A 15095-nucleotide genomic window follows, 5' to 3' on the forward strand; every position below is an offset into this window, starting at 1 on the left:
TGGAATGATATAAATAAAACACAGGGTATGGTTCCTGGCATTTGCCTGGCACTTGGTAATTGGTAGCCATTACCCTGTTGAAAGCTATGGAGCTTTGAGAAATTACCATCTACTTAATACAAAATTTCATGTTAGACTATTTTGCTTTGAACTTTATCAAAAGCATTTTATTATTGAAACTAAAAGAAGCAGAAAAATGTAATATTATGTGATTTTTATAGCATGACCCCTGAAGTTAATTATGGTGAAATTGTAATATAGTTGTTTTCATTAATTTGATATTAAAAAGGGAGATTGAAAGATTTGTTGCATCCCTGTGATATCTCCTATTTAAAAGGTGTCTAATCCAAAACACTGTTATCACTATGACACTATGATATTTGGGTTGAAGCAGTTCTTTGTTCCCTGCCTGTATAAGTCATCTTGTTTTAGAGTGATGTATTCATATTGTCAAATCAGGATAAAAGCTGGACAAACATGTATGTTTCAAAATATCTAGGTACTTTAGATTATGGAGATGAACTATGCATTTACAGACTCATTTTCAGCTTCTGATAACCAAAGAGCTTGTAGCCTTTGTCCTTAACAATTTCTTCCATCCCTGCGTGGTTGAGAGTCCCAGTGTTCTTTCTGGCTGAAAGCAGATACTGTATTTTGCTTTGTTAACAGAACATTGGTTATCAAGTTCTCTGTCTCTAATGATTCTGTTTTAGGGAACTGTCAATTAATAATCTCTGGAGGAATCATCATAAAGAATTTCTGTAATGAGATTATAATGCAAAGGTTTGTTTAGTCACAATATTTTTTAAAATTTTAATTATGATTTTCGGGCGATGACCCCAATCTTTCCATCTTTTACATTCAACTGCCTTTTAAATGCTGGCTTCCTTCAATTTCTCTTATTATGTTCATCCTCTTTTTAAAGTTTTTGAGCATAACTAAAACTACCCTACCTTTGAGAACCCTCTGTCTTCACCTAGTAGAATAAATGAAATGTGGATACAAAGGCTGAGCATATAAATTACCTTTAAAAAAGAAAATGCCTTCTACATAAAGCTTTTTGATTCCCTTTAGTTTTTTTTTATTCTAGAGCTTGACGGCTATTTTTCCTCTCTAGTCCAGTGACCTTGTTATTAAAGCATTATTGTAAAGGTAATTTAGCACACATGCCTCATAGTTATTAACCGAGTTCTACCACATTCAAATACCAAATATTCCAGGCTGGTAAAAATCACTATGCAAATAATCCTTCCTTCCACTAGCAAAATATGTTGGGGGAGTGGAGAGGCCAGGGGCTTTTTTAGTAGTCCTGAGTGACATTTAAGAATTCTGCTAAAGGCCAGGCGCGTTGGCTCATGCCTGTAATCCCAGCACACTGGGAGGCCAAGAGGGGCAGATCACGAGATCAGGAGACTGAGACCATCCTGGCTAATATGGTGAAACCCCGTCTCTATTAAAAATACAAAAAATTAGCCAGGCGTGGCGGCGGGCTCCTGTAGTCCCAGTTACTCGGGAGGCTGAGGCAGGAGAACGGCATGAACCTGGAAGGCGGAGCTTGCAGTGAGCCCAGATCGCGCCACTGCACTCCAGCCTGGGCGACAGAGCGAGACTCCGTCTCAAAAAAAAAAAAAAAAAAAAAAAAAAGAATTCTGCAAAAGTAGTGGAAATAGCTTTGGATCTTTTCTAACCGATATTCATAAGTATAATAAGGATGCCACTTTGAGTGTAGATTCTCATAAATCAGTGACATTAAAAACATGTACAGAACAATTTACATGAAAAAGTAATATGATGAATTCAATACAGTCAACCTCTGACCTAGAAGAAAGGTTATGAGGGTGGAGCAGGGAAGAAATGCAGAAAAAATCTTTGGCTCAAACCTATAAACACACTTGACTAAAAAATCTTTGAAATGCACCAAAAAAGAATGTTTTTTCAAACTGTTAATATCTTTGAAAATCATAATGCAGTACACAATTGTTTTTTGGGAAGCAGGTAAATTTTTTAAACCTGCATTTAATCATAAAAGGTAAAATAAAGGAACTTTAGAATTAGAAATCATTTAAAACATCATGTAACCTTACTTCTGCATTATACAGAGGAGGGTACCGAGGCCAGGTGAATATTTAGGCACTTGTCCAGGACTACACAACATGCAAATGCCAGGTTATACTGAATTAAGGGCAGGAGGGTGATACAGTCTTTGTAAGTTTTCTATCACTATTAGGAAAAAAAATAGGTACAATGCAGTACTATGTACAAAGTGATGTAATTTGGCCTGAAGCTTAAGCAAGACCACAGCTGGATGCTTTGTAACAATAGTTCTCTGTTTTTACTTGGATTTTGGGTAGAATATGATGATATTAAGGTGTTTAAGACAGGTTCATTTTAGGACAAAATTTTGTAGAACTCAGCCTCTCTCTTTATGTCTCTCTTCTCTCCAGCCCCAAGATAATTCAAACCTCTCCCTTCCCTCTCCCCTGCCAAAAAAGAGAATCATACAAATGAACCAAACCAAAATAGATAATTACATTTAACAGAACTATCAGTATATGTCAGAAGATTCTAGTTTAATTTCTTCTGGTTTTAACTTTCAGGAAAGTTAATTTCACTATTTTCTTTTGATGCAGCCCATTTTAACCCTTTAAAAATATATTTCTTAGAGACAAAGATCTATATTATTTCTCGTACTGTTCATTTCAGGTTGGACCAGGTAGACATGGGGAAAAGCAGATGCAGAGGGTTGTGTTTTACAGTGGTTATCATTCATACTAAGTTTATATCTGTATTAAGTTGCATTGCACACAAAGTTTGGAAACAGTATTTCTGAAAGAATTTTCAGCATGAGTAAAGTCAGTAAAAATTGGTACAAACACTATACTTCTTAAGGTAATCACACTTTTGTTCTCACTCAATGAAGCTGACTGTTCATGTATTCTAAGAGTGCATTTTAGAGTAGGATACTACTTGAAACAGAAGAATGTAAGAAAATCATGCTTTTATTGCTCCATTGTTCTTTATAAAGCAAATGATAGGAAAAAAGGAGGGTGAATGAACCATTCTTGTCCACTTCTCCCCCAATATTATATTATTAAAACTGGAGTGGTTTAGCAGAAACGATACATTTTTCTGTGTTACTTGGTGGCTCGGTATCCTTTTCTGGTTGAGTATTATAGGAGATGAAGACCCCTGTGAAATATGAAAAATGACAATCCGCCACTGTTTTATATCACAGGCCAAGTATCTCATAGGATCCAGCGAAGGTTGAATGTCTGGGCAGAAGATCTCAGGTCATTAACAGAAAAAGCTCTTTGGCATCCTGTGTCATAGAACAAAGTGTCAAACCTGTTCCCATTACTAGGTGCCTGTGGTGCTTTTCTTAAATAATCAGTCCCATTCAGACAGACATTTTAAGGTCTCTGATCATCTTTCTATTTCACAAGCAGTATTTTTTTAAGGCTAAATGGCACTAGAAGCAGAATGTTTTTAAAGTAAGGTTTAGAAAAGAACTTGGTATATTCCAAAGCTAGCCGGATTCTTTCTCATTTTCCCAAAGGTCAGACAGAAGTTCAGCTCTGACAGCATTGTAGCTGGGAATCCAGATAGAGGCAGGCAACATTTGCTCCAGCTCTACACTCCAGTCTGGGAGGCCTGGGAGCTCCTGTACAAATAGGAATCAATTTTAGGATAGCCTTATGAATCCTAGAGGATGGAATTAGACAAAGCTTTTTTTGCCCCTGCTTTGACCATTTGGCCTCAGATACGGGTGCCCCAATACTTTAATTTTTCTTCTTTAAAGTTTAAAGTTTTTAAGAAAATGAAATAGCTGGTAAGTGAAAATAGTCAAGAAAACATTGTAATTATGCTATATGTACATGTGCGTTTTTTCTGAAGTGGATTTTCAGAGACACAGTTAGAAGGTGTGCTTCACTGCTTTATTCTGCATATGCCCCAATGAATTCCAGGAGGTCACAGCAGCAGAGTACAACTTTTAAGATTAGAAGAGCTTGCTCTTTAAAGAGTTATTTTTAGCTGGAAGGGAGAGTGTAGACCTCAAAGTGCTGGTAGGTATGTTCTACAGTGGGGATCTAATTTGGAGGTCTTTGGAGATCTGATTCCAGGGGAAGGTCTCAGTGGGGCTCCTCTTGCCTCTGCTGCAGGACTGGGTGGCTCTGCTGATTGTCACTGCCTTGTTTGAGGGGTGGTCTCCATCATCCAGGGGAATTCAGCCTGGGACCTATTGTCTAGAGTGTACATTGTATCTAGGCCCAGACCTGCCAGAGTGTCCACAGCCACACTTGAGGAAAGGACATTCCAGACTCATTAAATATCACAATTCGATTTTGATGTCACTAACTCAGGTTCCTGAGATAAATTTCCATACAATTCCTACAGATTGATATGGATATGTGCATCACCCCAGGAGAGGCTCTGGTGAAGGGCAGGCTTGGAGATGCAATGGGCAAGGTTGGGGAAGAGATACCCTCTTCCGGGTTCCGATTTGTGCCCTGAATTTGGGCAAGCTCAAGGAGCACTGGCAACCCCACCAGCACCAGAAGAAGCTGGTCCTGGCTGTCTCCCGAGACTGGTGAAACTGCTCTGGTGGTGGTGCACTGGAAGGGTGGAGGAAAAAAAACAAAAAACAAAACAGGGTTTGAGGGGGAATGGCAGGGACACGGTAGAGGCACAGAGATACAGAGACCTAGAGTCAGAAATCCTGAGTGAGACACACAGAAAGGCAGAAAAAGGCAGAAAGATGCTGAGGGACAGAGACGCAGACCACAAGAATGACAGAAGAAGGAGACAGAGAGAGAGAGGGAGTGAGAAAGATACTGAGAAATAGGGACAGTAAGGGAGAGACTGAGAAAGACAGAGACAGCCAGAGTCGGAGCACAGAGGCCGAGTCTGGGAGACGCTGGTTGAGTGGGAGGTGTCAGTAGCGAGGGAGGTGGTGACGGCTCGAAGCATCCCCCGTCCTCCTCCTCCCCCTTCACGCTCAGCCCAGCCGGCGGCGAGGAGTCCAGAGGCCAAGGTCGCCCAGTCCTCTCGGCTGTCTCGAGCTGAATGGCTGGCAGTCTGCGGCTCCCCCGCCTCCGGCCCGGCAGCCACAGGTCGGAGGCGCCCGGCGTCGGCGCTCGAGGCCGGCAGGGGCGCCCTGCACCCTCCCGCGCCCTTCCCCGCCCTACGCGACTCCCGGCTGCTCTTCCCGCCACTCCCCTGGGCTTTGCGATCTTCCCTACGCCCCCCGGGAAGGGGGCGCTGCGGCCACCGAAGACACCGCGGGAGCCACTTGTCCCTGTGGGCCCAGCCCGCGAGAGCCTGAGAGCCGGATCTGTTTACACAGGGTACTAATTAGTCTTTGAGGAATCATTCACCCACGTGCCAAAGTAATTGTCCGTGTCAGGAAGGTAGGCGTGCCAAGCCGCGGCTCTGCGGAGAAACCACGACCACCGCGGCCGCCGGAAACCCAAAGCGCTCCAGAGCGTCCCCGGGTGGCCGGGCAGCACCAGGGACAGCGCCCGGGACTCCACTGGGGACCGGCTCCTGGGCTTCCCAGCGTCGCGGGTAGAGGTACAGCTGCTCCGTGTGCCGCAGGCTCCAGATTCTCGCCACCCCACCCCTCCCTCAGAAACTCGGACTGCTCTCGTCTGCCGTGTGGTTCTCTTTTCTTCCGAAAGGCCAGTGTCTTATCTCTCCACTTCAAGTCCAGAGGACTTGCTCAGTCTCCTCCCCTTAAGTCATTTCCACCATCCTCAGGCAGCTGTGGGAAGCCGAGAGTCCTGGACTGTTCGTCCGGGTGCCAGCGCTGGCAGTCCCAGTCCGTCCGGTGCAGCAGCCCGGCGCATTCCCCTCTCTCCCTCCCTCTTGCTCTCCCTCCCTTTCTGTCTTCCTCTCTTTCCTCCTCTACTGCTCCCTCCCTCTCTTGCCTCTTAAGTTTCCTGCACCGTGAATCCAACTGTGCCAAGCCTTGGCTCCCGCGAACCAATCCTGAGCGCGACCCGGGCACTGGGACGGCGACTCCGCCAAAGCTGGACGAGGCAGCCGGACCCGTCTGCGCTCGAGCATGGAGACGGAGCGCCTGGGAGGGCACGTCCGGGGCGCTGGAGACGCCAGGCCCGAGTAGCTTCTCCATGGAGCCTGCCCAGAGCGGTCCCTTCTCGCAGGATTCGCCCCAAGTCCTGTGCGGTACGTACCCTTTGCCTCCGCTGTTCCCGGAGGGTACACCTGGGAGCGGGGTGGTGGGCACGAGGAAGGGACGGCAGGGAGGGGCGCTGGTTAGGAAAGAGAACAAGCCTGGCAGGTGACCCTCACAGCTCGGAGGAGGCTTCTTCTCTAGAAGTTAGCGACCGGCTGTACCCTTTGGCTCGAAAAAAGTAGTGCTAGAGATGTGACTGTGAGCATTCGTGGGTATCTCTGTGTGCGCCAGGGGTTCGAATGGGTAAACTGATCCCTGCTTTCCTGTATGCAAATTGCATTCTCTTTCCCCACCCCCACTTCACCGAACGTGTTGAGGTACCTAGCACCTAATCGCGGTCAGTTCTACCTACCTCTTCCTCTCACCGCGCCCCCCTCGCTCAATCTCTCTCTCTCCCTTTATCTTTCCCCTCTATCTCTCTCTGCTGGTGTGTACGTGTGTGAGCACTGCCAGGGCTGGCGAAGAACCAGCCGCCGCCTTTAGTCCGAGCCGCCGGGCCACCCAACACAAGGGCAGGTCTCGCTGCCGGAGAAGCCTGGGCTCCGAACCAGCCTGCACGCGGCTCAGTGTGCTCCGCCGCCTGGGAACTCGCACCCGAGGAGCGCAGGGGGCAAGGAGCCCCTCACCCTCCCTCTCGTCCGCCCGCCCGCCTCCCCAGCTGCGGACCGCGCGCTTGCTGGTCTCAGGCGCTGGATTTACTCGCTTTTCAATTTTTCGTACCCTCCCTCCCTTTTTTTTTTGGTCCCCCACTCCCCGCTACGACCCCCTTTCCCCGCTTGATTGTCAAGCCTAACCTTGCCCGCGTAGTCATGGGATGTCTAATTTTATTTGCATCTAGGCTGCTGAGAGCGCTCCTTGCTCTGTAAAGTGGATGTCAGGTGGATCTATGTTTCTGAAGGAACAAAGACTCAAAGAAGGCACCGCCAAGGAAGTTTGAGACGCGGGAGAATGCAGGCTGCGTGCTGGTACGTGCTTTTCCTCCTGCAGCCCACCGTCTACTTGGTAAGTCTTGGAAGGTTCGGGGCTTTCGCATTTTTACCCCGGCCGGGAGGCAAGGAAACTGGGGACACGCGGGAGAAGGGTTACGCCGCCAGTTCAGTGAGAGCAGCTTCCTAGCAGCTGTGTTGGAGCAACTTTGGCAAGCTGGTCTCTGGATTCCTGCGGATTTTCCGGGGTTCCCACCCCATTTTCTGCTCCAATCCCCCAGTCTCCTGCGCGTGATTCTTGAAAGGGGCTAGGGCGCCCCAGACACCCTAAACCCAAGGAGGTAGTGAGATGGGGTGCTTTATGTGATAGAGGGCCAACGAGAAGAAGTGGAAGGCAGGAACTCTCAGTAGCTCATGCACAGAGTTTAAACGAAGGGAAGTGGGGGTGTAGTTGGGTGGTGGAAAGAACAAATCTGCCCAGGTCTGTGAGTTTAAAAGTGAATCTACCCACCCACTTCCCCGATTTGGAGATGAGACACATAAAGAAGCGCAGTTAACTTTCTTTGACTTGTAAGGGTTCCGACAGGATAAGTTTAACTATCAGGGGTACTGCAAGCAATCGGAGTTAGGACAGAGATACTCCAGCAAACATGTCCACCTTCCTCTCGTCTCGACCTCCCCTTTTCATCAAATAACTAAATCCCATCTCCAGTGACTAGTCCATTATTAGGGAATGGTAGGCCTTGTCGCCAGGGAGAGAATTCTAAACAAAGCCGCGGTCCTTGTCCTTCAGTAGCAGAGTTTTCCGGGGGGCTGGACTTTGTACACTGCTGGAACTCGGCTCCTGGTTGAAGAGCTTTGTTGTGGTGAATTGGTAGCTGTTTGTGCCATGTTGAGACAAGGAGAATGAGATATTTCAGGTCTGGCTTCTGGGGTGGGAATGGGGGAATGGGGGTAAGGGACACTTGTGCCCTGCTGGTGAAGTTGTGTTCAGTGTCCCGACCCCCATAGCCCATCCTGGGCTGCGGGAGTGCACCGAGGGCTCGCTATGTTCTGTCTAGGGGTGAGGTGCGCTAAAGCAGCCCGAACTCTCTGATGGGCTACACCTCTGATTGGAGGTGATACTGGCGCTCCTCAATCCCAAGAGCCTTAGATAGAACCCATAAGCCTGAAAGAATTGCCATCCCTACAATTGACAGCGTTTCTCGGCCGTTGCCCTGGTGCATGTGGCTGCAAAGCTGCGAGTTGTGTGAATTCTGTGTATGTGAGTGACACGTATATATATGTGTGTGTGAATGTGTATTTAACCGATTTCAGCTTCAATCCAAGAACCCTCAATGTTGCCTGTCTTTGCCCCTTTATCGCCTGACCGTAGCAGCCGCGGACGCCAGAGGGCGCTGCGCATCAGCGTCCTCGCCCACAGGACACCTTGGGGTAAACAGGTGAAAGCCAGGGCAGCCAATCCAAAAGAACAGCCTTTCTGACTCTGTCACCGAAGTCTGTGCCTTTACCCGCTGGAACGCAGGCGGAATGCAAAAAGTGTCCTTCCCATTTCCCATCTTCAATCATTTTCACCCCCACCTGTGTTCAGTAAGCCCACTGACATTGAGAGACCATGGATGGAGGGCAGAAAGTTTGGCCAGAAGAAATATAGAATTTTTTTATTGAGAGATGGGGGGAGGGAATGCAAAGTGAAAGCGACGGGGGCGGGGGGGAGGTAATTTTAAGGATTCCCTTGACCATCGTAACCCGCTTGCCCTTTTCCTCTGCATACCTTTACGCCTGACCTGAACTTGAGGACTGTTCTTACGTCCTTGGGCTGTGCTCACACACACGGCAAGGGCTTGTGGCTATGGTGCAGTTTATTGCTTGGAGCAAGTATTTCGATAGTCTGGAAAATAATCTATCAAAAGCAGAAGTGAAATCAATACTTTGTGTTAAATTTTAAATGTGTTTGTTGGCAGTTAAACCGTTTTCCACTCATTACAACAACAGTGCTGGATTTATTCTAATGCGCTGCGTTCTCAACAACAAGCGCATTAATTCTCCTTTAATTGTAAACTGGGAGCATTTGAAAACCATTCAGTGTGCAAATTATGCTGATTCAATTACCGTTTAGTTACAGACTTCATTACCTGAATGCCTTTTGGCAATACAGAGAAAGGAGACAATTTTTCCAATTTCACTCAAAACAATACGAAATGTGAACAATAAAATAGAGAAGGCTATTTAGAAGTCCGTTCTTTTTTCTCCAATCTAAAGTACTTTTGTGTGTCGGGGACTAGAAACCACATGCACCACAAAAACTACAGCTGATGGCTGTGACCCAAGGCAGTATTTCCAGGGATTGTAATCCCATGGATATTTGCCAGCAGAATTCCGAGCTGTTTTCCTGAAGGAGCAAAAAGCTGACTTCTACCATGGAAATGAATTTAAAAGGGTGAATTGGGCAGTCATTTCGGGATGGTTTTAGGCAAATAAAGAAGTAGAGAGCCTTGATTAAAACTCTAGGGCAATGAACCGATCAAGAAGTGATCAAGGCTTCTTTCTTCATCTATTTCATTAAATACCAGATACAGTTAACTGGATTGATCATTTGTTTGTAGCTGCACATTGGAAGATCTTATCCCTTTGTAAGAACCTGCACTGGATGCATACAGATTGTCAGGAGCTGCTTTAAGTTACATTCAAAGAAGGCAAGAGTGGCAAAACCATTATTTTAATTTTCTCTTGAACTGACATAAGCCAGGGAAGAATTTGATGGATAATTTTTGTCTTTGTGAGCTCACACCACTAGTTAAGTGCCTGCATCACTCTGTTTATGCCTTACCTCTTAGCTGATATCTCAGTGCACCTTGACCTTTAAGCCCATGGTATCCTAGTTATGTTTCCCAGGGAGTAATCACCACATTAAGTCCATGAAACAAGACTTGTCTAGTTATCTCCTAAAGAAATATTTAGGCTTCTGTTTAAAGTGAATACCTTAAATACCCCCAAATTTGAGAATAACTTCTTATGAAAACTCTGCAGTAGGTCAATGCCCCACACCAAGCCACAGTTTCCTACCTGTATTTGGGTGAATGTTTGCAAAGTATGTTTCTGGGCCCGGGATTCTTTGAATGCTTTAGGTTGAGGATTTTTGTGTTTTTTGAGAGACAAGTCTGTCCTAGTTCAAAATAGAAGCTTATTTTAGTACTTTAATGGGAAACTAATTAGATATGTGCCCACAGAGTTACCTTCTGAAGCATGTTAGCTGGAATACTCAAAATCCACCACAGGACAAGCTCCAGCCATAAATGCATGGGGGTGGGAAACTAACTTTTAAAAATAAAGGTAAATAAAATTTCAGACTATTGAATGTTATGTATTGCAGATTTAAAAGCCTGAATTCAATAGGAGAGAAGTCTATGGTTAACAACGCTTATTAAAAATAATAAAAAAGTTTTGCAATCTTTATTCTCTTATTATTCCTGGACCAATTCCAGGATATTTTCAGTATGATACAATGGGATGGCAGGATGATAGCATTTTAACTTTATTGAAGCATATATTGAATCAGCTAGAAAAATATGGTTCCTTGCTCTGAAGAGTGGGGGTTCTAACTTGAATCAGCCTCATTGGATCAAGTAGAAGGATAGGCCAGGACACCAGGAAAGCATCTCCCACAGGGTGTGGCATTCTGTTTGGGGGCTCACCTGTGGTAACTCTCAGTTAGAGAGGTGAGTCTAATGAGCACTTTCTGAGCATGCTAATGAAAAAGCTACTCAGAAATTGAATCCAATGCATCCGACAAGGCATTGTATAAAGTTACTGTGACTAGTCACCCATCCACAGCTCTATTCTAATGAGAAGGGGTCCCACCATTTCTGCTAGGAATTAAATTGCTAATAATCAAGTTGCTTTTTAAATCAAAATAGGCATGAATTAAAAATCCTTTCTAAACTTGTGCCACATTATGAGCCATCTATTCTCTCAAATTTGGGATATCCTTAAAATGTGAATTCTACACCAATTGTTTAATAGAGTTTGGAGAGTAATTAATGTATCTATGGGACCACTACCTCTGCACTGTTAAAAGCTAGATCATTTGGGTGAAATCCACTCATTATGAAGATGGCTGTTAAGGTATATTGGAGCTGGGGGAAAAGCAGAGGGAGAGAGACCAGCAATGTCTTTTCTTTGGACTAGGTATGTGTGCTTCTCATTCTTTAAAAATTAAGCCAGCTGCACACTGAAAATTCTAATCAATTTGAGCTTATTACTGAAAATAAACAAAATAAAATAAATTTCCTGACAGTGGCTATTAAGTGTTCCCTATTAAGGCTAGTTCTTGGAGGCAGTACTAAAAGTTTCTCATTCCACTGCATTTCCTGACTCTTCTACTACAGACCAGCCTTTTAGATACATACGGGATTCAGACTAGATTTTTGGAAGGCCCTCTACCCCAGAAGCACAGCCTTAGAACTCATCAGTTTTAAGATGTATTCCTGAGCTCTGGGGGACACAGAAGTTGCTACTATTCTAGGCATTTCCCTGAAATGTTCAACTTTCCATTGACCAAGAAAGCAGCTCGCCCAAGTGTGTGGGAAGCACTTGGGTGGGACACTTTTCTGCCCCATTTCCAGAAGGATTATCTTGGTCTGAGGCCTTCTAGTGACAGCTTTAGAGAAGCTGACTTTAGTATTCGGAGAGAACCAGGATTGCTCCAACTTTCTCAGCGGTATTTTTTCGGAAAGCCATTAAATTCGTGGCTCCTCTGTGCGAAGTTGATTTCTATTTGGCTTTGAATTGTTGACGGCTATTTCTTCCTTAATGAAAGTGTTGTCTGGGTGAAAAATATATCAGGTGGCTGGGAAATTGGTTGATTTTTTTTTGAGATAGGTGCCCAGTGTCCTATTTTTCTATCTGAGGAAAGATTTTCTGCAGACTACAGAAATTGACAGCATTGTCCGGGTAATAACCGTCGTCGACAATATTTTCGAAAGGGCATTTGAGTGCCGAAAGCATTTGGATATTGCTTTTTCCAATAAGAAATTTTCTGCCCTGAGCTTCTTTGATTTTATAGGGGGTGGGGAGTTGACTAGGGGGGCGATGGGGAAGAAGGAGCCTCGCATTGGCAAAGAGATGCCTTCCCCATCCTCCCAGTCCTGGAATACCAAGGTGCTTGTCAGCTTCACCTGGAATTCCTGGATCTGAAGAGCCCTCAAATAATTCGGCTGCGAGTCAAAAGGGAATTTCAGGAATGAGGAATAACACTCTTCTTGCGCTCCTGTAAAGCAAGTGATGGAAGCTCTGAAAGTTTGCCTGCTCTCAAGTGGGAAGTTAGGAAGTGTGCGTTCTTTCTGATTTTTTTAAAAATAAAAAGTGTCTAGCTTTGATTCGATTCAGGAAAGCTCCTCTTGGGCAACCATTGTCCGTTAGGGGCTTCAGATCTCATTTTAAGACCTTAACAGTCCTCGCCGTTCTAATTAAGGAAAGGCAGGCGAGCCTGCCAGCCGAGAGCGGTTGGGTCAGCGGCTTCATGGTGCAGCCGAGTCTCAAAGCGGGTCTGCACTCTCGCCTCCCTCTGCATTCTCTTAGCCACTATTTGCCTGGTCCCGTCGCGTGTGTGCAGGAAGTTTCAGTCTTGATTTATCCACTAGTCAAGTTCCCGACCAGCTCTTTTTCTGGATGTCAGCACTAACCCCCTCCCGGAGCTTGGTAAACACAGCGCGCGCATTTTTCTGCCTCAGATTGGCATGTTGACGACTCTGCTTGAAGGAATGTGACAATAAAGTGGGAAACCAAAGCTTGGCAAGCACTTAATCAAGGATAAAAAGGTTCCGTTGTAAGGATGTCACTCAATTTATTGTGAAAGTCGAATGAATTACGTTTAATGAAAGTGCTCCCCAGATGAATATTACCAGCAATTTCCTGAGTTGGCTCTGTCAGCTCGAGATGAGGAAATGCCAACCCAGATCAGAAAAGAGCGCCCGTCTCAATTACTATGCAAGCTTTCCAAGAGCGGCTTTTTATTGAGATAATATATTTTGGCGGCTTCTTCAAACCCCTCCGCGCGCCCAAGAGCGCGTTTGCGCATTTTCCAAGTTTGCCCTGCCCTCGCGGGTTGGTGGCTGTTGTTTAAACTTCTGATGAGCGCGCTGCGTTTCTGCTACGGGATGAAAACCTAATTACCTCCTCTGCAAAGAGCTTTCCCTAGTATATTTTATTGATTGCGGAGGTGGGAGCCGGCAGGGGGTCTGTGGGGGTGGGCGGGGAGGGGATTCTCTTGCTCCGGTGCCCTCTGTTGCCGAAAGTTCCTTAGGCGTCTAGTCAGGGGTTCGGGGTGGTGGAAAGCGAGATGGCGTTGGGAGCCAGGGCGTTGGGACGGCACAAGCAGTGGGGTCCCAGGAGCAGCAAGACAGTAGCTCCTCTCGGGCCACGGCTTACGAAAAGCTTTCCTAGCTCCTTCTTCCTATAAATTAATGAGGGTATTTTACTCGTTCAAGCCGGAAATACGATGGGGAGGGGGAGACACAGGCCGCATCCAGAGCGCATCGCCTCATCTGCATGAGAATGGAGAACCGGGAGGCTTTTCTTGTACTGTTTCTTTCTCCCACAATAAGACAAATTGCTGCTTAGAAAAACTGAGTGTTTCCTTAGAAACTGGCTTGCGGGAGCTCTGCGCGTCCCCGCTGAACCTGCCTCTGGCCGCGCCTCGCCATCACCCCCGCCGCCCTAATGGATTCTGAAGCGAAGGATCCTAGCTGCCGCGGCTAAGGGCGCAGGGGGAGGCCGCGCGTCCTCGCCACACCGGAAGGAGAGGGCATCCGGCTCACACATCCCACCCTATGTCTTAGACCCCGTCCTCACACATTGACTTTAAAAGGCCATTTTCCTTCGTCTTCTACAAGAAGCAAGAAACTTTTTTCGACGTAGGCTTCATACCCTCCCTTCGGAAACTCAGTCCGCTGACCAAAGCCGCAGTGTTCAGGCCCCGGGGTTTCCCAGCCGTAGTGGCCGCCGCCACAGCTGCGCGCTTTATTGTCTGCTTTCAGTCGCAGGTGACCTCGAGCGATCTCGACAGGTTTATGGAAACACAGATGCAGCCCTCTCGCGTCCGGAGCCCAAGTCCCCATGCAAAAGCGCTGTTTCTGGGTAATTTTCGTCGACGCCACCAAGCTTCGGTGCTTTTGGGACAGCGGGCTGGATAGCGGCAGTTCTCGGGAGAATAGGCCGCGGGCTATAAGATTTGATCGCGGGCAGGCGGGCGTGGGGCACGCCAGGGCCGGGAGAGCGACTCTTCAGCACCACGGCCAGCGCCACAGGCTCCGCCCCGCCTGGTGCCAGCAGTAGGGCCTGCCTCCCCCGCTGCCGCTCCGGCTGGGTCCTTAAAGTCGAGTTAGCACTCTCGGTTTCCGCAGATACCTCCTCAAGGCCCGCTCGCGACTGTGACGACCCGCCTACCCCTTCCAGCTATTCGGGGGGCAGCTAGCTCCCGTCTCTAGGTCCCCAGCATGACCTGCGGTCAGAAACTCTTGCTTGCACCCCTCTCCATTACCACACTCAGTGGTTGCGGCGTCACGTGATCACCACGGAGATTTTGCGAATCCTTCTTTTCCCCAACTTCTCCCCCTACCCAGTCTCCCATTCTTTCACAGTTCATTAAATCTACCCCTCCCCCGAAACAGAAACGTGAAGGCTGTAACGAAGAGCTAGAAGTGTCTCTAGTAATGTAAAAGTCTCAACTGACAGACAAGGAAACTGAGGCAACCAACTTATTCGCAAGAGTAAAACCCTATGGGGAGAAGCGATTCCTGCCCCTCTTCCCCCGGCGAGGAACACGGCTGGAGCCACCCAGGCGCCTTCCAGGCTAAGGCGCCTTTAGCGGCGCGCAGGGGTGAGGGAGAGGGTGGGGAGAGTCCTAATTATTATGAATTTCTAAAGGCGCAGTAATTATTCACGGGGAGCAGGACAAACCATGGCTAGGCAGG

The 15095-nt window shown here is 46.9% G+C and overlaps 1 protein-coding gene across 1 annotated transcript in view, besides 5 other annotated features; it reads left to right on the forward strand.

Moving 5' to 3' along the window:
- Window positions 1–5039: 5039 nt before the first annotated feature.
- Window positions 5040–15095, forward strand: part of NXPH1 (neurexophilin 1) — a 319353-nt gene continuing 309297 nt past the window's right edge. Inside the window, exons 1-2 of the mRNA NM_152745.3 lie at window positions 5040–6186; window positions 7035–7198. Of these exons, the coding sequence (NP_689958.1) occupies window positions 7145–7198 (54 nt within the window). The 5' untranslated portion in view covers window positions 5040–6186; window positions 7035–7144. The remainder of the gene's footprint in view (window positions 6187–7034; window positions 7199–15095) is intronic.
- Window positions 5604–6151: an enhancer, noted in NCBI's record as "H3K4me1 hESC enhancer chr7:8473803-8474350 (GRCh37/hg19 assembly coordinates)". NCBI's record gives its function as "activates a minimal SCP1, AML or CMV promoter by ChIP-STARR-seq in primed H9 embryonic stem cells {active_cell/tissue: H9 hESC(primed)}" and the evidence as "EXISTENCE:reporter gene assay evidence [ECO:0000049][PMID:30033119]".
- Window positions 6152–6699: an enhancer, noted in NCBI's record as "H3K4me1 hESC enhancer chr7:8474351-8474898 (GRCh37/hg19 assembly coordinates)". NCBI's record gives its function as "activates a minimal SCP1, AML or CMV promoter by ChIP-STARR-seq in primed H9 embryonic stem cells {active_cell/tissue: H9 hESC(primed)}" and the evidence as "EXISTENCE:reporter gene assay evidence [ECO:0000049][PMID:30033119]".
- Window positions 6700–7247: an enhancer, noted in NCBI's record as "H3K4me1 hESC enhancer chr7:8474899-8475446 (GRCh37/hg19 assembly coordinates)". NCBI's record gives its function as "activates a minimal SCP1, AML or CMV promoter by ChIP-STARR-seq in primed H9 embryonic stem cells {active_cell/tissue: H9 hESC(primed)}" and the evidence as "EXISTENCE:reporter gene assay evidence [ECO:0000049][PMID:30033119]".
- Window positions 12648–13148: an enhancer, noted in NCBI's record as "H3K4me1 hESC enhancer chr7:8480847-8481347 (GRCh37/hg19 assembly coordinates)". NCBI's record gives its function as "activates a minimal SCP1, AML or CMV promoter by ChIP-STARR-seq in naive H9 embryonic stem cells {active_cell/tissue: H9 hESC(naive)}" and the evidence as "EXISTENCE:reporter gene assay evidence [ECO:0000049][PMID:30033119]".
- Window positions 14327–14506: a silencer, noted in NCBI's record as "fragment chr7:8482526-8482705 (GRCh37/hg19 assembly coordinates)". NCBI's record gives its function as "represses an EF-1alpha promoter that drives an FKBP-Casp9 reporter gene in an ReSE screen in HepG2 liver carcinoma cells {active_cell/tissue: HepG2}" and the evidence as "EXISTENCE:reporter gene assay evidence [ECO:0000049][PMID:32094911]".

This window comes from Homo sapiens, chromosome 7 (genome assembly GCF_000001405.40).
Source record: "Homo sapiens chromosome 7, GRCh38.p14 Primary Assembly".
Lineage (NCBI taxonomy): Eukaryota > Metazoa > Chordata > Mammalia > Primates > Hominidae > Homo > Homo sapiens.